Source organism: Homo sapiens, chromosome 2 (assembly GCF_000001405.40).
Source record: "Homo sapiens chromosome 2, GRCh38.p14 Primary Assembly".
Taxonomy (NCBI): domain Eukaryota; kingdom Metazoa; phylum Chordata; class Mammalia; order Primates; family Hominidae; genus Homo; species Homo sapiens.
In genome coordinates this window covers 61866514-61888845 of record NC_000002.12, presented here as the reverse complement: position 1 = coordinate 61888845, position 22332 = coordinate 61866514, and the positions used below count along the sequence as shown (strand labels likewise).

The window sequence follows — 22332 nt, the reverse complement described above, 5'->3', positions numbered from 1 at the left end:
CACCACTCGCCTTTAAAATCGCGCGTTGTCATTGCTGCCTCGCGTAAAGGTTCCCCCGGCGCTCTTCACCCACAGCGCCCCGGGCGTACAATCTCGCCAGCCCGGAGCCCACCGCACGCATCCTCCTCGCCCGGCGCGCAGCGGACAGCCTCCTACGTCACGCCAGCGCCGCGCGGCAAGGAAGGCCCCCTTCTCCGCCTCCGCCTCCTCCCGACGCCGGCGCCGCTTTCTGGAAGGTTCGTGAAGGCAGTGAGGGCTTACCGTTATTACACTGCGGCCGGCCAGAATCCGGGTCCATCCGTCCTTCCCGAGCCAACCCAGACACAGCGGAGTTTGCCATGCCCGAGAATGTGGCACCCCGGAGCGGGGCGACTGCCGGGGCTGCCGGCGGCCGCGGGAAAGGCGCCTATCAGGACCGCGACAAGCCAGCCCAGATCCGCTTCAGCAACATTTCCGCCGCCAAAGGTATCACTCTCATGGCCTGACCCGCGGCGCCGCGGGGTTGTGCTCTGCGCTCTCATCGTGGGCTTGAGCGGGTTTGGCTCATTTCCCATTTCTTCGGGTGATCCTCTCTTGTCCTCCCTATAGAAGCAGCCCAGTGGAGGGATCCTTATTTCTGTTTTTCTGCCGATGATCGCCAACCCGGAGTATGGAGGCCTTTGGACTTGCCCCATTTTGCATCTTAATCTCCCTTAGTTTTTCATCCTGCACTGTGCATCATTCATATTGGAGCCGAAAGCAGTTCAAAATGCCGAGGATTGCATGCAGTCTTCACTAGGGATCTGACGCTTGAGGGCTGTCGCTTATTGCTTATTGGAACTGGTAGAATGCACAGTATCTTTCAGCTTTGTTATTCTTATTTAAAGAACTATTAAATAAACTTCACTTGGCACAACTGTTGAGACGAATTGGGTGAACTCTCCGAGTCTAAATTGGGGCGGGGCCCATTGTACTGGGATGGATGTGGGAACCGACTTACGTGTCGTGTTTGAAATAGTTGCGGAAAAGTTACGTTGATGTCGTCTCCGCATGTGCAGTGAAACATAGGCAAATCAAGAAACAATTATTTGTTTTTTTTGTGGAAGTGTGTGGCACACGTTGGAAATCAGGAAGACCAGAGTTTCATTCTCTGCTTCCGTTACTTCATGTCTTAGTGACCTGTAACCTCTGTGCCAAAGATTCACTTATAAAATTGGAGGAAAATGTTTGCTTTTTAGAGTTAAGATTAAGAGAAATCGAGTTGAAATAGAAAAATCTGGAAGGAAAAGTCAGGACAGAGGTTTAGAGATCTTGCCCGAGTGTATATTGAGTATAGTAGTTCTTTTGGGTTGGAGAATAGTAGTATGTTTACAGAAGAGGTGAGATTAGAAAGCTAGGTTGGGGCAGATGTTAAAGGCCTGGTGTCCTGGAAAGTATTTGGCTTAATCTCCCCCAGCTATGGGATCATTTCTTTTTAGCCATCGTGTAGGCTTGCTGTGAGGATTCAGTGAGAAAGCATATAAAGACCCACGTATATAAAGTACACCTTACATGTGTTTGCAGTCATCAGCCCAAGTAACTGGGAATGTGATGGCGCTAAGATAGGTAACGCTGGATGTAAGAAAAAGTAATAGTTTCTAACTTGTCCTAATGAGTTGGAAAGGTCAGAATGGCCAGATTTAGGAGTCATTTGTAAGTTTAGGAGATAATACACCTGGAAACGAAGGTTTGTAGGATAATTGTCTAGGGACCATAGTTGAAGCTTACATTTATTAGATTAGGAACAGAATGTTGAAAGATAAATTTTGGGTCGGGCAGGGTGGCTCACGTCTGTAATCCCAGCAATTTGGGAGGCTGAGGCTGGCGGATCACATGAGGTCAGGAGTTCAAGACCAGCCTGACCAACATGGAGAAACCCCGTCTCTACTAAAAATACAAAATTAGGTGGGTGTGTTGGCGTAGGCCTGTAGTCCCAGCTACTCGGGAGGCTGAGGCAGGGGAATAGCTTGAACCTGGGAGGCGGAGGTTGCCGTGAACTGACGTCGCGCCATTGCACTCCAGCCAGGGTGACGAGCGAAACTCCGTCTCAAAAAAAAAAAAAGATAAATTTGGGGGCCAAGAGAGTTTATAATATGGTTGATATTCAACAAACAAAATAAGTGGGAAATTTAGCAACCTTTGAAACAAAAGCAGACAAAGAACTGAAACAACAGAGGAGGGTGTGCATGTGGGAAGGAAAGGCCACCTAAGTTATCTGTGAAGATGACCCGTTATGTCTTAAACTCCTGGCCTCAAGTGACGGCCTGCCTTGGCTTCGCAAAGCGCTGGGATTACAGGCGTGAGCCACCGCACCCGGCCCCAGAGATGTTTTATAACATACTGATGATGACCAAAAGCTATGATTTGAGAGTTTTGGTTTTTGTTTGGTTTGTTAGGTTTGGTTTGTTTGTTGAGATGGAGTCTGTCTTGCTCTGTCCCCCAGGCTGGAGTGCAGTGGTGTGATCTCTGCTCATTGCAACTTCTGCCTCCTGGGTTCAAGCGGTTCTCCTGCCTCAGCCTCCCGAGTAGCTAGCTGGGACTACAGATGCGCACCGCCACACCCGGCTCATTTTTGTATTAGTAGAGGCAGGGTTTCGCCATGTTGTCCAGGCTGGTCTCGAACTCCTGACCTTAGGTGGTCTGCCCGCCTCAGCCTCTCAAAGTGCTGGTATTACAAGTGTGAGCCATCACGCCCAGCCTTGTTGGATTTTTTAGAAGAGTATCTTGCTCTGTAGCATTTCCATTGTGGTTTGCCCTTTTGGCGGTGTTGGCGGGCCACCTATCTACCATGTTCACATTAGTGAACAAAAGTCTTTGCTCTCAGAGATTACATACTAGACAGAGTAAACAAATAAGTGAATTATCTGTAAATTGAGCATTCCTAATTTGAAATACTCCAAAATTCAAAACACTTCTGGTCCTAATCATTTTGGAAAAAGGATACTCCTCCATCAGTATTTTAGATCTAGACAGTTCTGTTGCTGCTTGTCCTGTTTTAGGAATGGAGGAAATAGCAATTCTCAGAGCTCCTAACTAGATTGTACCATTTTGACATCTGAAGGAAGATGAGATGAATCCTCAAAATGTATTCTGCCATAAGCTGATTACAAATACTAGGCCAGGCGTGGTGGCTCACACCTGTAATCCCAGCATTTTGGGAGGCCGAGGCAGGCGGATCTTGAGGCCAAGAGATTGAGACCATCCTGGCCGACATGGTGAAACCCCATCTCTACTAAAAAATACAAAAAAATTAGCTGGGTGTGGTGGCACGTGCCTGTAGTCCCAGCTACTCCAGAGGCTGAGGCGGAAGAATCACTTGAACTCAGGAGGCGGAGGTTGCAGTGAGCCGAGATTGCCTCACTGCACTCTAGCCTTGTGACAGAGTGAGACCATGTCTCAAAAAATAATAATAATAATACTGTGTACGTTGACTAACAGAAGTGAAGCATCATACATTTAAAAGAAAAATAATTGTTGCCAATAGATTATTTTTAGACAATGAATTTTCTTCTGTGGACATGGTGATTTGTTATGCACTATATCCTAATAAGAACACAATGATCATTTGAGGGGAAAAAAACTCTATTCTTTAAGAAGTCTTGATTTCCCATACTCCCAGCTATTCTGGGAGGCTGAGGTGGGAGGGTTGCTTGAGCCCAGGAGTTTGAGGCCATCCTGGACAATATAGTAAGACCCTGTCTCTTAAAAAAAAAAAAGTTCTAATTTGTTTTCTTTTTTTTCCCCCCCATCTGCAGCGGTTGCTGATGCTATTAGAACAAGCCTTGGACCAAAAGGAATGGATAAAATGGTAAAGAGTTGAGTCATTGAATACTACTAATTGAGCACTGCTGTTCACACTACAAGATCTTGTTGAAGGGTTAGATGTGCTGTTTAAAAAGTGGGGCTGGGCGTGGTGGCTCACACCTATAATCCCAGCACTTTGGGAGGGTGAGGGGAGGATCACCTGAGGTCAGGAGTTGGAGACCATCCTGACCAACATGGAGAAACCCTATGTCTACTAAAAATACAAAATTAGCCAGGCATGGTGGCTCATGCCTGTAATCCTAGCTCCTGGAGAGGCTGTGGCAGGAGAATTGCTTGAACCTGGGAGGCAGAGGTTGCGGTGAGCTGAGATTGTGCCATTGCACTCTAGCCTGGGCAATAAAAGCAAAACTCTATCTCAAAAAAAAAATAAATAAAATAAAAATAGTAGAAAGTGGGTGGGGCACAGTGGCTCGCACCTGTAATTCCAGCACTTTGGGAGGCCGAGACGGGTGGATCACAAGGTCAAGAGTTCAAGACCAGCCTGGCCAATATGGTGAAACCCCGTCTCTACTAAAAATACAAAAATTAGCCAGGCATGGTGGCGGGCACCTGTAATCCCAGTTACTCAGGAGGTGGGAGACTGAGGCAGGAGAATCACTTGAACCCAGGAGGCAGAGGTTGCAGTGAGCCGAGATCGCGCAGCTGCACTCCAGCCTGGGCAATGGAGCGAGACTCCATCTCAAACCAAAAAAAAAGTAAAAAGTGTTGGGTACCTGGAATTCAGAGGAAGGAGAGGTTACTTTGGAGTCAACAGGACTAAACTATAATTCATATTTTGTTTAATGCTTCTTAAACAATGAGAATGCACACCCAAATATAGATATCTATTATGTAGTTAAGTGGAAACTATTATAAATCCAGGTGTTGGGACTTCAGTTTAGTGTTCCTTATGGATGTAACTTTGTATCTTAATGTGGGTCTCTGTGAGATAAAACAATATGGAGGATCATCTGGATGATACTATAGATTATTCTCCGCTCTGGATATTCAAAAATCTATCTTTCCCAAAAATGCCATTGTCCTTTTTGTAGGACAAAAAAGGAAAAAAGTTACTGTGTTGACTGTAAGAATTGTGTTCACCGCATGGCATGGTACTGCTTTAGGGGCATCCATGGTGGAAATCGTGTTTCTGATTAATAAGAAATCATTAAAGATAGCAAGTGCTTCTTTATAATATTTTTCCTTTTGTGTGTGTGTGTGTGTGTGTGTGTGTGTGTGTGTGTGTGTGTCTACATTTCTTCACTTTTAGATTACCCTGCAACAAAGCCACTTTTTTCTTTTGTAAAGTTGGACTGTTATTGCGTATTCTTAAACTATTATGCTAATGTAAGGGAAGAGAATTTAAAATTAAGTACTTTGCAAACAGAAATTAACTTCTCTATTTTGAAATGTAAAAGTTTAATAAAACTATTAAGGTGTGACATTGAAATATAACTTTAAAATTTTTTTTCTAGATTCAAGATGGAAAAGGTGATGTAACCATTACAAATGATGGTGCTACCATTCTGAAACAAATGCAAGTATTACATCCAGCAGCCAGAATGGTAAGTGTAATTTTAGGTGAGTCTTTTTTTTTTTTTTTTTTTGAGACAGAGTCTTGCTCTGTCATCCAGGCTAGAGTGCCGTGGCACAATCTCAGCTCACTGCAACCTCTGCCTCCCAGATTCATTTCTCCTGCCTCAGCCTCCTGAGTAGCTGGGATTACAGGCTCGTGCCACCATGCCTGGTTGATTTTTGTATTTTCAGTAGAGACGGGTTTCACCATGTTGGTCAGGCTGTTCTCAAACTCCTGACCTTGTGATCCACCTACGTTGGCCTCCCAAAGTGCTGGGATTACAGACATGAGCTACTGCGCCCGGCCAGATGAGTCTTCTTTTTTAAGTGTGTTTGATACTTGGTAAACAGTTAAATTTATTTGATCACATGATATTTAAGCACGATGAACACTTTTCGTGCTGAACAGGCATATTTTTAGGATACATTGTGTGCCTAACATTGTGCTTTTTGGTGTGAGGTGATAATAAAACACAAATCAAGCCAGGCATAGTGGTGCATGCCTTTAGTCCCAGCCACTCCATAGGCTGACATGGGAGGATTATTTGAGCCCAAGAGTTTGTGGCTGCAGAGAGCTATAATCACACCACAACACTCCATTCTGAGTGACAGAGTGAAACCCCAGAAAAAAAAAAAAAAGCTGGGCACAGTGGCTCACACCTGTAATCCCGGCACTTTGGGAGGCCAAGGTGGGAGGATTGCTTGAGCTCAGGAGTTTGAGACCAGCTTGGCCAACATGGCGAGACCTTGTCTCTACTGAAAATACAAAAAATAATAGTTGGGTGTGTGGTGCGCACCTGTGGTCTCAGCTACTCAGGAGGCTGAGGTGGGAGAATTGTTTGAGTCCAGGGGAGGTAGTGAGCTGTGATTGCGCCACTGCACTCCAGCCTGGGTGACAAAGCGAGACCCTGTCTCAAAAAAAAAAAAGAAAGAAACACAAGTCACCTTATACTTGTCCACAGAAATGATTATTTTTCCTTTCATATGATTATTGTGTTCTTATTAGGGTATGGTGCATAGCAGTTCATGTGTCCACAGAAGAAAATTCATTGTCTAAAAATATAATCTACTGGAAACAGTAATTATTTTACTTCTTTTACCTTATACTAGTCCATGGAAACTTGGCATACACTCGAGGAATAAGGAGATTAAAAACATAAACCTGGTGTCAAGTCATATGAGCAAAAACAAATTCATTAGAAAGAAATTTCTATCAGTCTGGTCGCAGTGGCTCGTGCCTGTAATCCCAGCACTTTGGGAGGCTGAGGCGGGTGGATCACCTGAGGTCAGGAGTTCGACACCAGCCTGGCCAACATCGTGAAACCCCATCTCTACTAAAAATACAAAAATCAGCTGGGCGTGGTGGTGCATGCCTTTAATTTCAGCTACTCGGAGGCAGAGACAGGAGAATTGCTTGAACCGGGGAGGCAGAGGTTGCAGTGAGCCGAGATTGCCCCACTTCACTCCAGCTTGGGGTGACAGAGTAAGACTCCGTCTCAAAAAAAAAAAAAAGGAACTTCTATCAAAAAAATCCCTCTGAGTTGTGTAAAGATGGCTTTTAAAAAATTTTTTTTTTTTACAAAGATACTGATCAAATTTATTTATAATGGAAACAACCTGGAATAGGCAAAATATCCAATGATAAGAAAATGTTTAAACAGTATACCACAGCATGTTAATCATACAGCCATTAAAAATTGTTTATGAAGATTTTTATGAGGAAAAACACTAATGAAACATTACATGAAAAAAGATAAAATTACGTATATACTGTGAGCTTACTTAAAAAATAGAAAATGATTGGAAATAAACCAACATACTGTATACAAATATTAATGGTCTTTGCTTCAAAAATATTTAGTTGACACATTTTAATTTCTTTCTGTATTTTCCAAATTTTGTATAATTACCACATACTATTTTACAAATAGTATGTGGTACTATTGAGGAATAAGGAGATTAAAAACATAAACCTGGTGTCAAGTCATATGAGCAAAAACAAATTCATTAGAAAGAAATTTCTATCAGTCTGGTCGCAGTGGCTCGTGCCTGTAATCCCAGCACTTTGGGAGGCTGAGGCGGGTGGATCACCTGAGGTCAGGAGTTCGACAGGATAACAAAAAAATTTTGTTATCCAGAAGTGACAAAAGTCTCTATATATAATATTGCTATTAAAATGTTGAAAAAAATGATTATTATAGGAAAATAAGCATCTTATTTGGAACATAAAATAAGAAAGCATTGCTAAATAAAACAAAACTTCACTGCTACGTGAAGTTTTGCTGTTTTCTTGGATAGTCCTGAGGCTTCATATGTTGTGCCATCCACCAGTTATGAAAAGATGGCTTTTTAATGAATCAGGTTATACTTACAAGGGGTCTACTCAAATAAACTTGGCAAAAGACTCTTAAGTTGATACTCTGAGGCTGGGAATGGTGGTTCATGCCTGTAATCTCAGCACTGTGGGAGGCTGAAGCAGGAGGATCCTTTGAGCCCAGGAGTTCAAGACCATTCTAGGGAACATAATGGGGCCCCGTCTCTAAAAACAAACGAACAAAAAAGACTTTTTAAAAAAAGTAGCCAGATGTGTTAGTGTGCACCTATAGCCCCAGCTACTCGGGAGACTGAGACAGGAGGATCTCTTGAGCCCAGGAGGTGGAGGCTGCAGTGAGCCATGATTGCACTGCTATACTCCAGTCTGGGTGACAGAGTAAGACCCTGTCTCAAAAAAAAAAGTTTGATACTCTAGTCTCATCTGGAATGCCCCTTTTCTTAGCTTCCAATTCTATAGAGTACTTACGATATATTTTTGCTTTCTAATTAGAACTTTTGAGTAGCAGGGCAGGGGGAGATGACAACCCACAATCTGAACTGGAGATCATCTACTAGTCTTTAATTTTAAATGAAACCCAAGGTAGACAACAAATCAGAAGAAATCAGGAATCATGTTGCATCTTCAAATTCTGTTTGTGACACTGGTGCGATTATTTGAATTAGGTGTTACTGGGTTCTGTCATTTCTCATTGAGCAACTTGGCATTTTCTGTTCACTTAGCTGGTGGAGCTGTCTAAGGCTCAAGATATAGAAGCAGGAGATGGCACCACATCAGTAGTCATCATTGCTGGCTCCCTCTTAGATTCTTGTACCAAGCTTCTTCAGAAAGGTGGGTAGGATGTACTTTATTACTGAATAAAGAAAAGTTTAAAAAACAAACTTTAGGAAAAGCCAAGTTATTCATAAGTAATATGGGATTGAAGATTTAATTTGGAATAACTAATCTTTTTACCAAGAATTTTTAAAGTTAGATTTTGCTATATTTATAATAGAGATTAGAAGAAATTTTCCTTGGCTTCTGATATTTGCTGGGCTCCTTTTTGAATGGAACTCAATTGAATTTTGCTGTTCAAAAATGAGTGGTAGAGGCCGGGCGTGGTGGCTCATGCCTGTAATTCCAGCACTTTGAGAGGCCAAGGTGGGTGGATCCCCTGAGGTCAGGAGTTCAAGACCAGCCTGACCAACAGTGAAACACAGTCTTTACTAAATACAAAAAATTAGCCGGGCATGGTGGCGCGTGCCTGTAATCCCAGCTAAGGCAGGAGAATCACTTGAACCCGGGAGGTAGAGGTTGCAGTGAGCCAAGATCATGCCATTGCAGTCCAGCCTGGGCAACAAGAGCAAACTCCATCTCAAAAAAAAAAAAAGAAATGAGTGGTAGAAATATTACTAATCTTGGACTCTTATACAAGAAAGAAGATTTGGGAGAGAAAGTCAGGATTGTCTTTGCTTTAGTAAATGGTATTTAATTATAGTAGTGACTATCCAATCACTTATTTTACTTATAATGTAGATTTGTGATATTTTGAGAAGTATCGGCCAGGTGCGGTGACTCATACTTGTAATCCCAGCACTTTGGGAGGCTGAGGCTGGCAGAACAATTGAGCCCAAGGAGTTGAGACCAGACTGGGCAACATGGCAAAACCCTGTCTCCACCAAAAAAAAAAAAAAAAAATACAAAAAAAATTAGCCGGGTGTGGTGGCGTGTGTCTGTAGTCCCAGCTACTCAGGAGGCTGAGGTGGGAGGATCACTTGAGCCTGGGAGGTTGAGGCTGTAGTGAGCTGAGATCAGGGCGCTGCACTCTAGCCTGGGTGACAGAGTAAGACCCTGTCTCAGAAAAAAAAAAAAAAAAAAAAAGTATAAAATTTGGTTTTAGTCAAGACCATTAATAAGTGTGTAATCTGTTTTAAGTTGGATGGAAGTAAATTATTAGCCATAGTTAGCAGGTTATTCAAGCCACTATATTACAACTGAAGCATAAGTTTGTAATTAAGAATAGTTAAATTTGTGCTTGCTTTGACATTGAGTAGAAAATTTTTAAGCCATGTCAAATGTGTAGTTTACCTGTTACAATTAAATAACTAGACTTTCACAAATTACAGGGATTCATCCAACCATCATTTCTGAGTCATTCCAGAAGGCCCTGGAAAAGGGCATTGAAATCTTGACTGACATGTCTCGACCTGTGGAACTGAGTGACAGAGAAACTTTGTTAAATAGTGCAACCACTTCACTGAACTCAAAGGTGAGACAAACACTAACGGATACTTGTCAAATTAGTTAAAAGTGTGTTACTCTATGATTCTTGATGCTATACGGTACATAAATACTAAATCTCAAGAGTGGCTAGGTAACTGTTATAATCTGTATAATTGAATTGGTTTAAGATTAAGAGAGGAAATGAGCCATAAGGCTAACAAAGGAGTTAGGATATTTAATATATACTATATCCATTTCCACTTTTCTGTTTAATGCATTGTAACAGTGTTTTGATAAAGCTAGATATTTTAATTTGCCTATAAGAAACCTTTTCCTCCACCAAATCAGAAAGACTGCCATAGATTACTGGCAGTATAGCTAATTTTTATTGAATATTTAATATGGTGGGCATTGTGATAAGTTTTTTACATTTATTGTCCTCTTCAAGGCCCTCAGATAGTCATATCCCCATTTTATAGATGAAAAGAGTAGATCTAGAGGAGTAACTTATCCAAGGACCGCTAACAGAAACAGCTGAGATTTGAACCCAGGACAGGCTGCCCATCGTGGTCCATCCCTTAACTAATACTTATGCTGCTTTTCTTATTTACCAAACTTAAAGCGGTGTTGTGCTTTTAAATTTCTTTGGAACTCATGTCACTTGTTTTCTGTAATATCCTGTGTTTATCCCTTCCTTCCCCTAATCCTTTTTCCTTTTAAAAATCAGTATTAAGTCCATACATTCATTTTGTTTGAATGTTAGGTAGTGTTAGGGACACTAAGTGATACTGTTGGATGTCCTTAGAACTAATACAGATAGTATAGCGTAATGGTTACAAGCACTAGGCATTGAGTCTAGACTGCTTGTGTTTGTTCAGTACTGACTTCACCACTTAACTACGCTGTTTGGCCAAATGACTTAACCTCTTGGCTTCAGTTTCTCCATCTGAAGATTGAATGAGTTAATATGTAAAGTTCTAAGACCACTGCCTGGCATATGTTAAGTGATTGATAAATGTTAGCAATTTTTATCAACCCCTCATCAGGAATGTACATACATAACATTGATGCCTCATCACACATTCATTTTAGATAGAAAATACTCACGTAAAATTAAATTTATGCTTTTTGGATTTCCTGTAAAACTTTGATATTCTACAGTCCCGGCTATTATATTAATAAAAGAAAAAAGCAAGCATACATGTTTTTATTTTGTGCCCCTGGTGACAACCTGAATGGAAAAGACACTTTATGGACTGTCTTCTCATGAGTGTTTCCCTCTTCATACCCACACCCCACTGCAAAAATTATAAGAGTCTTTCTTAAGTATCTTTGTCATTGAAAAATTAGGACTTTTTTCTACTGTGAAGGTAACTTTTTTTTTTTTTTAATAATTCTAGGTGGTTTCTCAGTATTCAAGTCTGCTTTCTCCAATGAGTGTAAATGCAGTGATGAAAGTGATTGACCCAGCCACAGCCACCAGTGTAGATCTTAGAGATATTAAAATAGTTAAGAAGCTTGGGTAAGCATCTCTAATTACAACTTGAATAAAAATTTGAAAATGAGCATCAGATTGCCAAAAATAAATAAAAACACCTAGATGAAAGTCACAAAGCTCTCTTTTCTCTTTTTGGTTTTGTTTTCGTGAGAATTTGTATTAGTATGGGCATCTGGAGATTTTGTTTATGTTACCTTATGATAGTAAGGCAGCAGTGGATCAAAGAGATCCAGGAGTGGGGCAATAATAAATGTGAGGCTGAATCATATTTTATTGGACTGATGACTTTTAATCTGTTCATCTATTAAACGTACAGATGTCCACTCCCTCTTAACTACCCCTCTTTGTTTTCTTTTATCCTTAGTGGGACAATTGATGACTGTGAGTTGGTGGAAGGGCTGGTTCTCACCCAAAAAGTGTCAAATTCTGGCATAACCAGAGTTGAAAAGGCCAAGATTGGGCTTATTCAGTTTTGCTTATCTGCTCCCAAAACAGACGTAAGTAGAATCCAAATGAAATTGGTTCTCTGTGTTTAACTTTTTAATAACTCAGGCATTTCTTTATTAAAAATAGAAAATACTACTAGTGATTTAAAGCAGATCTCAAAAGACTTACTAGAATTGAGACAAAAATAGTAATTGTTGGTGCCACAAGTGACAAGTCTGTATCCTCAGTTGGGATATTGAAATTGAGAGCTAGCCATTTGCAACGATGCCTGTAGTCCCAGCTCCTTGGGAAATTGAAGCAGAAAAATTGCTTGAACCTAGGAGTTTGAGGTTGCAGGGTGCTATTCCATGACCTGTGAATAGTCCCTGCACTCCACTCCAGCCTGGGCAACATAGTGGGACCCCATCTTTTCACTGTTGCTGTTAATTTACAAATTCACACAGATTAGAGAGGGACCCTATCTTTTGAAAACAACTAGGGTAACCATTTTATATTTTTTGGTTATAAAAAATTTACTTGCAAAATGTAAGATACCAGTGTACTTAGTTGAAAATAAAAGACTCAAGTTTGGGATGTGTATCTTAATCCAGACTCTTTTCTATGCATGTCTATATAATTTATTACTTGATATAGTTTTGGTTGAATTTATACAACACATAGTATTTTCGCTTAAAATTCTACTTTTAAACTTAAAATATCTTACAATGCAAATTATGATGTTCTTTTTCTGAACAGATGGATAATCAAATAGTGGTTTCTGACTATGCCCAGATGGACCGAGTGCTGCGAGAAGAGAGAGCCTATATTTTAAATTTAGTGAAGCAAATTAAAAAAACAGGATGTAATGTCCTTCTCATACAGAAATCTATTCTAAGGTGTGGGGCTATTTATTTTGTTCATCCCTTAATGATAATTTTGGATCTCCACTAGCAGTTTATTTTTTCTGATAAAATATATGATTTAAGCACTTACTCTAAGTTCGTATTTCTTAACAGACAACTCTTAGGTGAAACGAAATGGAGAATTTTTATTTTAAAAGCACAGGTAAAATGTTAGGCCTCAATATTGTACCATCATTTGCTCAGACCAAGGGAAAAAATGGTATAAGTTCAGTTAAGATGTCTAGGAAAAGCATTTTAAACAAATATATGACTTGTAAATTCAAAACAATAAAGGTGTAATTTTCTTTTACAAAAAAAAGTAGGTTTTTTAAAATAGCCAACTAACTGCCAGAATGTTGTGTTTTGGCCTTTTAAAAAACTTATTTCTTCGATTATTGGCTTCAGGGTGGAGCCCTTAAGGAACAGGGCCAAGAAAGCATGCAGTTTTTAGAGTCTAAACCACACTTCTAATAGCAATTTTTTTTAATTTTTTTTTTTTTTTTTTTGAGACAGAGTCTCACTCTGTCATCCAGGCTGGAGTGCAGTGGTGCAATCTCGGCTCACTGCAACCTCCGCCTCCTGGGTTCAACAAGTGATTCTACTGCCTCAGCCTCCCGAGTAGCTGGGACTGCAGGCACGTGCCACCACACCTGGCTAATTTTTTGTATTTTTTGAGTAGAGATGGGGTTTTACCATGTTAGCCAGGATGGTCTCGATCTCCTGACCTCATGATCCACCCGCCTCAGCCTCCCAAAGTGCTGGGATTACAGGCATGAGCCACCGCACCCAGCCTCTAAGAGCAATTTTTATAGAAACATTTGAGTTGGGTAAACCACCAGAAATCTGCATTTTTTTTTTTAGCAGTATCATTATTTTTCCTTGCAGTTACAAGCTGGAAAAGCATTATTATGTTTTGATAAAAAGTGCGTAATCTTCCTTTTTTTTTTGAAATGGAGTTTCGCTCTTGTTGCCCAGGCTGGAATCAATGGTGCGATCTCGGTTCACCACAACCCCCGCCTCCTGGGTTCACGCAAGTCTCCTGCCTCAGCCTCCCGAGTAGTTGGGATTACAGGCATGTGCCACCACACCCAGCTAATTTTGTGTTTTTAGTAGAGACGGGGTTTCTCTGTTAGTCAGGCTGGTCCTGAACTCCCAACCTCAGGTGATCCGCCAGCCTTGGCCTCCCAAAGTGCTGGGGTTACAGGCATGAGCCACCACGCCCGGCCCTATCTTCCCTTTTAAATGTAGGATATATAATCTTACCTAGACCAAGGTCCTAAACATCAAGCCTTGTTCTTTTAAAAGCCATGTTGCAGAATTAATTACCTAGTTAAAAGTGGAATTTATTTAAAGGTCTATGCAATTGCTTGCCTTGTCATTTAGAGGTACTTTTTGGGGGAATGCTCTGCATAGTCCATAGATGAAAAGAATTCTCTGAAGTTTGACAGATCACTTTTTTCCTTCTTTTTTTTTTTTTGGAGACACAGTCTCACTCTGTCACCCACGCTAGAGTACAATGGCGCAGTCTCAGCTCACTGCAACCTCTGCCTCCCAGGTTCAAGCAGTTTTCCTTCCTCAGCCTCCTGAAATAGTTGGGATTACAGTCACGTGCCACCACGCCTGGCTAATTTTTGTAGAAATGAGGTTTTATCATGTTGGTCAGGCTGGTCTTGCACTCCTGACCTCGTGGTCTGCCCCCCCTTGGCCTCCCAAAGTGCTGGGATTACAGATGTGAGCCACCGTGCCTGGCCAGTATTTTTTCCTAATAGACGCATTCCCATTTACTCCATTAATGTGCCAGAATGTACTGTGGATGTTCATTTTATATAGTCTTTGAAGACTCAGAAGACTTGGTTCTAATCCCAATCATATAATAGCTACTGACCTTGAGTAAATTGCCCCCCAAACTCAGTTTGCTTATCCGTATAATAGGGATAGTAGTAATATCTACCTTTCTAGTATCACAGAGTTGTTATTCACAGTTCATGGGGAAGTGTAAATTTGTGGAGTCTGAATTAATACTTCTAAATTCATGAAGTATTAATAAGGTTTCACTTCCCAAGATGTGCTCATTTGTTAAGAAAAATGAGGTCAGGCACAGTGGCTCATGCCTGTAATCCCAGCACTTTGTGGGGCCGAGGTGGGAGGATCACTTGAGCCCTGAGTTCAAGACCGGCCTGGGCAACATAGGGAGACCCTGTCTCTATTAAAAATAAATAAATGAGCCGGGTGCAGTGGCTCATGCCTGTAATCCCAGCACTTTAGGAAGCCAAGGCGGGTGGATCACCTGAAGTCAGGAGTTCGAGACCAGCGTGGCCAACATGGTGAAACCCCGTCTCTACTAAAAATACAAAAATTAGCCAGGTGTGGTGGCGGGAGCGTGTAGTCTCAGCCACTTGGGAGGCTGAGGCAGGAGAATCGCTTGAACCCAGGAGGTTGAGGTTGCAGTGAGCCAAGATCGTGCCATTGCACTCCAAGCCTGGGCAACAAGAGCGAAATTCCATCTCAAAAAAATAAAAATAAATAAATAAATGGGGAAAAAATAATGACCTAGTTATTTCGTGTGTTTTATAGTGTCATTGGGGACAGAGTACATTTTAATACTGGAATTGTACTAAAATTTCCAATAGAATTGGAAATCTTAATTTTGACCTTACGAACTTAGTAAACTAAAGCATTTTTCTTCAGAAATAATGATTGGCCATTTAAGAAACAGTAATTAAAACCTTAAAGGCATTTGAAGAGCAAAATTTTTTTAATCTAGCATTGACATAATCACTGATTTTGTATTTTAGAGATGCTCTTAGTGATCTTGCATTACACTTTCTGAATAAAATGAAGATCATGGTGATTAAGGATATTGAAAGAGAAGACATTGAATTCATTTGTAAGGTAAAACATTAACATCTGTATTTGTGGAAAATGTCTGATAATTAGATAAATGTCTTAATTTGTGGATTTGACTGTTTTTTCCAGACAATTGGAACCAAGCCAGTTGCTCATATTGACCAATTTACTGCTGACATGCTGGGTTCTGCTGAGTTAGCTGAGGAGGTCAATTTAAATGGTTCTGGCAAACTGCTCAAGGTAACAGTATTACACTTAAATTTTTATTTGCTTAGGTTTGGGTATGGGGTTTTAGGTTGTTTTTTTTCTTTTTTTGAGACGGAGTCTCACTCTGTCGCCCAGGTTGGAGTGCAGTGGCATGATCTTGGCTCACTACAAGCTCCGCCTCCCGGGTTCATGCCATTCTCCTGCCTCAGCCTCCCGGGAAGCTGGGACTACAGGCGCCTGCCACCACGCCCTGCTAATTTTTTGTATTTTTAGTAGAGACGGGGTTTCACTGTGTTAGTCAGGATGGTCTCGATCTCCTCACCTCGTTAGCCACCCGCCTCATCCTCCCAAAGTGTTGGGTTTACAGGCGTGAGCCGCCGTGCCCGGCCTGGGTGTGGGGTTTTTTTGACCCTTCAAATACTTAATTTGGAATTTGTTTACTGAAGATTACAGGCTGTGCCAGCCCTGGAAAAACAGTTACAATTGTTGTTCGTGGTTCTAACAAACTGGTGATTGAAGAAGCTGAGCGCTCCATTCATGATGCCCTATGTGTTATTCGTTGTTTAGTGAAGAAGAGGTAATGTCAGTGTTACATTATTAAGTAACATTTTGAACATTAAAACTATTATATTCTATTTTTTAAAGATATAAATAGCAAATTATTAAAAATAATTTTCTTTTGGATAAAATAAGCTAAAAATATATTTGTGAATTTCAGGGCTCTTATTGCAGGAGGTGGTGCTCCAGAAATAGAGTTGGCCCTACGATTAACTGAATATTCACGAACACTGAGTGGTATGGAATCCTACTGCGTTCGTGCTTTTGCAGATGCTATGGAGGTCATTCCATCTACACTAGCTGAAAATGCCGGCCTGAATCCCATTTCTACAGTAACAGAACTAAGAAACCGGCATGCCCAGGGAGAAAAAACTGCAGGCATTAATGTCCGAAAGGTAATCATTTAATCTCTAATGTAGAAAATATTGATTAATTTAAAATATTAAAAGCTTTGTAGTCATCTGTTGAATGGAAAGCTCTGTAATGAAAAGCATAATCTTGGATTTAAATATGAGGCCTGCTGCATGTTAATTAATCTATGCCATTGAGTGAGAAGGAAGATGGTGACACCTTAGGGGGAAGTATTATTTGTTCATTAAATCTGCCACTTACTGACTAGCTTTTAGCAAGTTACTTAGTCTGTTCCTCAGTTTCCTCAGGTGTAAAAACAGGGATGATTAATAGTTCCCTCATAGGCCTGTTGTGAGAATTAAATGCATTTCTAGTTAACAAGCTCTTAGATAGATGCTTGGCATATACTAAAGACTGTATAAAAAATCATTGCCCTAGTTAGCATGAGCTAATGTAGTTGTGTAAGGTAATCATATGGTAATAATATCACTTTTTATTAATGTTTTGTTGAGGAGACAAATTAAACACATGATGGGAAAGAACTGACAGTCCAACTTTATATTGTCTGTATGGTACAGAACGCCAAATGATGGAACTATCTGTTTAGGGAAGGCTTTATGAAGATGCACTTTTGGTTGGTAGGGGATGAGGAAATTCCAGATGGGTAAGCAGTGGTTTTACAGGTGAGAAGGACCAAGCAGTTCTTCACCTGTGTAGAGCTGGGATTATATATTAGTGGTATAGTGGGCTTTAAGGTTGGAAAGATCAGATAAAAGCTATTATTAATAGGCCTGACGTGGTGGCTCACGCCTGTAATCCCAGCTGTTTGGGAGGCCGAGGTGGGCAGATCACCTGAGGGCAAGAGTTTGAGACTAGCCTGGCCAACATGGCAAAATTCCGTCTCTACTAAAAATGCAAAAAAAAAAATTAGCCAGGCGAAGTGGCGGATATCTGTAATCCCAGCTACACGGGAGGCTGAGGGAGGAGAATCGCTTGAACTGGGGAGGCAGAGGTTGCAGTGAGCCAACATCACACCATTGCACTCCAGCCTGGGCGACAGGGCGAGACTCCGTCTCAAAAAAAAAAAAAAAAAACTATTAATAGAATGAGGAGGCCCCTGATTATTGAGCCAGCCATTTTTTTTTTCCTTCCCGTAGTTGGGATCCACTGAAGTGTTTTTTGTTTGTTTGTTTGTTTGTTTTTTCTTTGGAGACGGAATCTTGCTCTGTTGCCCAGGCTGCAGTGCAGTAGCACTGTCAGCTCACTGCAACCTCCTCCTCCCAAGTTCAAGCAATTCTGCCTCAGCCTCCTGAGTAGCTGGGACTACAGGCGCCCACCACCAGGCCGGGCTAATTTTTTTGTATTTTTTAGTAGATATGGTGTTTCACTGTGTTGCTGAGGCTGGTTTTGCACTCCTGAGCTCAGGCAATTCACCTGCCTCAGCCTTCCAAAGTGCTAGGATTATAGGCGTGAGCCACGGTGCGGGGCCTAAAGATTTTTTTAAGCAAGAGGCTAAGGACATGAACATTTTAAGAAGGGAAGACTGGAAGTAAGGATGCCTGTTAGAGGCCATCAGGAGTAATCCCGGGATAAAGGGAAGTAGGATGAGATTTTTTTAAGCAAGAGGCTAAGGACAGGAATATTTTAAGAAGGGAAGACTGGAAGCAAGGATGCCTGTAAGAGGCCATCAGGAGTAATCCCGGGATAAAGGGAAGTAGGATGGTGCAATGAAGAATTTAAGGTGGCAAATATGAGACTGTAGAGTAGACTGGGGTTGATCTAATTAAGAATTAAAATTCAGAGATGATTTAAACATTAAAGAGATAATATTTTGTTTTGTTTTGTTTTTTTGAGACAGAGTCTCACTCTGTTACCCAGGCTGGAGTGCAGTGGCACAATCTTGGCTCACTGCACTCCGCCTCCTGGGTTCAAGCGATTCTTCTGCCTCAGCCTCCTGAGTAGCTGGGACTACAGGTGCATGCCACCACGCCTGGCTAATTTATTGTATTTTTAGTAGAGACAGGGTTTCACCGTGTTAGCCAGGATGGTCTCGATCTCCTGACCTCGTGATCTGCCTGCCTTGGCCTCCCAAAGTGCTGGGATTACAGGCGTGAGCCACCGCACCTAGCCAAGATATCATAATTTTTAACTACTGTGATCATTTTGCTAATTTTGCCAATATTTAAAAATAAGTGGCCAGGCGCCATGGCTCACGCCTGTAATCCCAGCACTTTGGGAGGCCAAGGCGGGCAGATCATGAGATCAGGAGATGAGACCATCCTGGCTAACACGGTGAAACCCTGTCTCTACTAAAAATACAAAAAATTAGCCGGGCATGGTGGTGGGCGCCTGTAGTTAGGATTGGGTGACTACAGCATTAATTCAGTTTTTCCAAATTTTAATTGAAATAACATCCCACAGTGTAGAGAAAAGCTTAGTAGAGTATCATATTCTAATCTTCTTAGACAGAAAGAAAACTAGATTTAGGTCTTGAGGTACACTGGTAACCACGTGGCTGCTGATGTGTATTATCACAGACACTAAAAGCAACTTGTGCTGATTTGATTTGCAGGGTGGTATTTCCAACATTTTGGAGGAACTGGTTGTCCAGCCTCTGTTGGTATCAGTCAGTGCTCTGACTCTTGCAACTGAAACTGTTCGGAGCATTCTGAAAATAGATGATGTGGTAAGTGTTTCCAGGTTGCAAATTTTCTTAGGAGGTCAAAAAGGCATATATTTTTTAAAGGTTTTTTGTTGTTGTTGTTGTTTGGTTGGTTGGTTGGTTTTTTTGAGACAAAGTTTTGCTCTGTTGCCCAGGCTGGAGCACAGTAGCACAGTCTCGGCTCACTGCAACCTCTGCCTCTGGGGTTCAAGTGATTCTCCTGTCTCATCCTCCTGAGTAGCTGGGATTACAGGTGTGAGCCACCACACCTGGCCATTGTTTTTTTAAAAGTTTTTACTTTTTTTTTTTTTTTTTTTTTTCTGAGACGAAGTCTTGCTCTGTTGCCCAGGCTGGAGTGCAGTGGCATGATCTCGGCTCATTGCAACCTCCGCCTCCTGGGTTCAAGCGATTCTCTTGCCTCAGTCTCCCACCTCCCAAGTAGCTGGGATTACAGGCATGTGCCACCACACCCAGCTAATTTTTGTATTTTTAGTAGAGACGGGGTTTCACCATGTTGGTCAGGCTGGTCTCGAACTTCTTACCTTGTGATCCACCTGCCTCAGCCTCCCAAAGTGCTGGGATTACAGGCATGAGCCACCGTGCCTGGCCAAGTTTTTACTTTTGATAAATATTTGCTAGTCATCAAGGTGACAGCAGTTCTTAATACAGGTTTTCCTTTTATTAATTGCCTTAAACATTTTCCAGCTTTAAAATTCTGTCATTACAGGTTTTGAAATCTAAGTTTTTCTCTTATCAGGTAAACACTCGATAATCTGGATAACTGACTAGCACCATTATGATCACCAGTATTGTGGCTGGAATGGAAGAAGATCACCTTGGTGTTCCTTGTTTGGAAGATTATTTCCTCTGAATTTCTGGGCTTGGTCTTCCAGTTGGCATTTGCCTGAAGTTGTATTGAAACAATTTAATGAAAATATTAAATATTTGGTTTCAAAAGGCAGATTTATCTTCTCCCAACATTCTGTTATTTCTGATACTTTTGAAAAACTAATAAAAACTAATAAAAGAAGCGTAAAAAGTGAGTTTACATGTTGAGGAAAAAAATGGCCCAATATGCTCATCACTGATAAATGCTCCCTGGCCTTAAAAACTACCAACATATAATATATATGCTGTCTTAAAAGTTAATGATCCAAGTGGCACCTCTCTGAACCTACTTTGGCTTGGGAGGCTGCCCAGTTAAAACAAAAATAAGTTAATGGTACAGAAAGAGAATGAAAAATGAAAGCCTCCTTTTATCCTATCATCCTAATTCCTTTTCCCAGTAATAATGACTGCTGTGTTGGATTCCTTCTGCAAATAAAAGTGTATACATATATGTAGCAAATCTTACTTAAACAAAAGGGTTTCTTAACTAATGTCTTGTTCCAGTGATTTTAAACATCTTGATTGCCACTGTCCTGATCTAAGCATCAGTGTCATCTCACCATGAAGAGTGTCAAATCTGTAACTAGTCTCTTCCCTTTAGCCACCTTCCAATCTATTTATTTCGCACATATTGAAGTCTAGTGATTTTTTTTTTTTTAGAGAAAAGCTCATCACCCAGGCTGGAGTGCAGTGGCGTGATCATAGGTCACTGCAGCCTTGAACTCCTGGACTTGAGCTAAGAATAAAGAATCCTGCTTTATTCTTTAGAATAGCTACAGCTACAGGTATGTGCCACCATCCCTATATATATATGTGTGTGTATATATATATATATATATATTTTTTTTTTTTTTTTTCAGAAATGGGATCCCACTATGTTGCCCAGGCTGGTTTTGAACTCCTGGCCTTAAACAGTCCTGCCTTGGTCTTCTAAAGCCCTGGGATTAAAGGCACTTAGTCAAGCACTCTTTTTGTAAAAGCTTTCATACCTTTGAGTAAAGGCTAGACCTTTTAAGGTCGATCAAAAGTTTGGCCTAAACAATCTGGTATTTCAGCTACCATCTCCTTGAGTATTTCACAAGGAGTTTCATGAAAGCAACTAGGCCCCTCTAGCATTGTGGAGAAAGGATTTCAGCCAAACAGTCTGAAGCTCCTTTTGTGTTCATCATGAAACTGAAATAGTTAACTAACTTGGTAAGTGTCTAATATTTTTAGATAAAGATTTCTGTATTATCTGGAATTTAGTACTTCAATTTATTCCTCACTTTGATAAGAACGTGAAATATGTTAATTCTAGCTGCCATAAAACAGTTGAATCAGGTATATCCTAAAATCATAAGTCAAAATACCTAATCCATATTTAAACATCTGTCAGTTACTCAGCACAAGATGTTTTTTTTTTCAGTGGCAGTGCCTTGCCATGTTGCTTCGGCAGGAGTGGTGGCTATTCATGTGTGAAGATCATAGCTCACTATAACTTCAAACTCCTGGGCTCAAGTTTGCCACAGCCTCCCAAGTAACTAGCACTACAGGCCTGTGCCACTGCACCCAGATAGCAGAAAGTTTTTTTTGTTTGTTTTTTTGAGACAGAGTCTCGCTCTCACCCAGGCTGGAGTGCAATGGTGCCATCTTGGCTTACCACAACCTCCGCCTCCCAGGTTTAAAGCAGTTCTGCCTCAGTCTTCCGAGTAGCTGGGATTATAGGTGCACGCTGCCACACCCGGCCAGTTTTTGTATTTTTAGTAGAGATGGGGTTTTACCGTGTTGGCCAGGCTGGTCTTGAACTCCTGACCTCGTGATCCGCACATCTCGGCTTCCCAAAGTGCTGGGATTACAGGCATGAGTCACCATGCCCAGCCAAGTGTTTTTGTTTTATGTGTTTTGACACAGGGTCTTGCTCTGTCGCCCAGGCTGGAATGCATTGGCACAACTATGGCTCACTACAGCCTCAACTTTCCAAGGCTCAAGCAGTCCTTCCACCTCAGCCTCCCTAGTAGCTGGGACTACAGGCGCACACCACCATGCCTGGCTAATTTTTGTATTTTTTTTTCACAGAGACGAG

General features: G+C 41.3%; 2 protein-coding genes and 1 long non-coding RNA gene across 6 annotated transcripts in view, besides 3 other annotated features; 1 reads left to right on the top strand and 2 right to left on the bottom strand.

Moving 5' to 3' along the window:
* COMMD1 (copper metabolism domain containing 1) overlaps positions 1-455 on the bottom strand; it is a 247668-nt gene extending 247213 nt beyond the window's left edge. The window contains exon 1 of one of the 3 annotated variants that reach the window (NM_001371765.2): positions 262-455. The gene's annotated coding sequence lies outside the window, so the exon portion shown is untranslated. Of the gene's footprint in view, positions 1-3; positions 122-261 lie in introns of those variants that run through there. The other 2 variants (NM_001321781.3, NM_001321782.3) reach the window with 2 other exon arrangements.
* Positions 41-600: an enhancer, noted in NCBI's record as "H3K27ac hESC enhancer chr2:62115381-62115940 (GRCh37/hg19 assembly coordinates)". NCBI's record gives its function as "activates a minimal SCP1, AML or CMV promoter by ChIP-STARR-seq in primed H9 embryonic stem cells {active_cell/tissue: H9 hESC(primed)}" and the evidence as "EXISTENCE:reporter gene assay evidence [ECO:0000049][PMID:30033119]".
* Positions 175-20761, top strand: CCT4 (chaperonin containing TCP1 subunit 4). 2 transcript variants are annotated; one of them, NM_006430.4, is made up of 14 exons: positions 190-465; positions 3774-3826; positions 5298-5387; positions 8452-8560; positions 9835-9977; positions 11332-11453; positions 11794-11926; positions 12612-12751; positions 15553-15649; positions 15734-15844; positions 16258-16388; positions 16530-16764; positions 19293-19406; positions 20140-20761. In NM_006430.4, exons 1-14 carry the CDS (start codon positions 339-341, stop codon positions 20152-20154), a joined length of 1620 nt encoding a protein of 539 aa, NP_006421.2. In that variant the 5' UTR covers positions 190-338; the 3' UTR covers positions 20155-20761. The 2 variants fall into 2 exon arrangements, with proteins under 2 accessions (NP_001243650.1, NP_006421.2); NM_001256721.1 differs by lacking the exon at positions 5298-5387 and having other exon boundaries at positions 175-465; positions 20140-20719.
* Positions 420-499: an enhancer, noted in NCBI's record as "active region_15842". NCBI's record gives its function as "activates an Ori minimal core promoter by ATAC-STARR-seq in GM12878 lymphoblastoid cells {active_cell/tissue: GM12878}" and the evidence as "EXISTENCE:reporter gene assay evidence [ECO:0000049][PMID:35858748]".
* Positions 601-1162: an enhancer, noted in NCBI's record as "H3K27ac hESC enhancer chr2:62114819-62115380 (GRCh37/hg19 assembly coordinates)". NCBI's record gives its function as "activates a minimal SCP1, AML or CMV promoter by ChIP-STARR-seq in primed H9 embryonic stem cells {active_cell/tissue: H9 hESC(primed)}" and the evidence as "EXISTENCE:reporter gene assay evidence [ECO:0000049][PMID:30033119]".
* Positions 8270-9879, bottom strand: LOC124907773 (uncharacterized). The gene is made up of 2 exons (XR_007086334.1): positions 9797-9879; positions 8270-8582 (listed from the first exon to the last, which is right to left on the bottom strand). It is a non-coding gene; the product is annotated as an uncharacterized LOC124907773 (long non-coding RNA).
* Positions 20762-22332: the final 1571 nt, after the last annotated feature.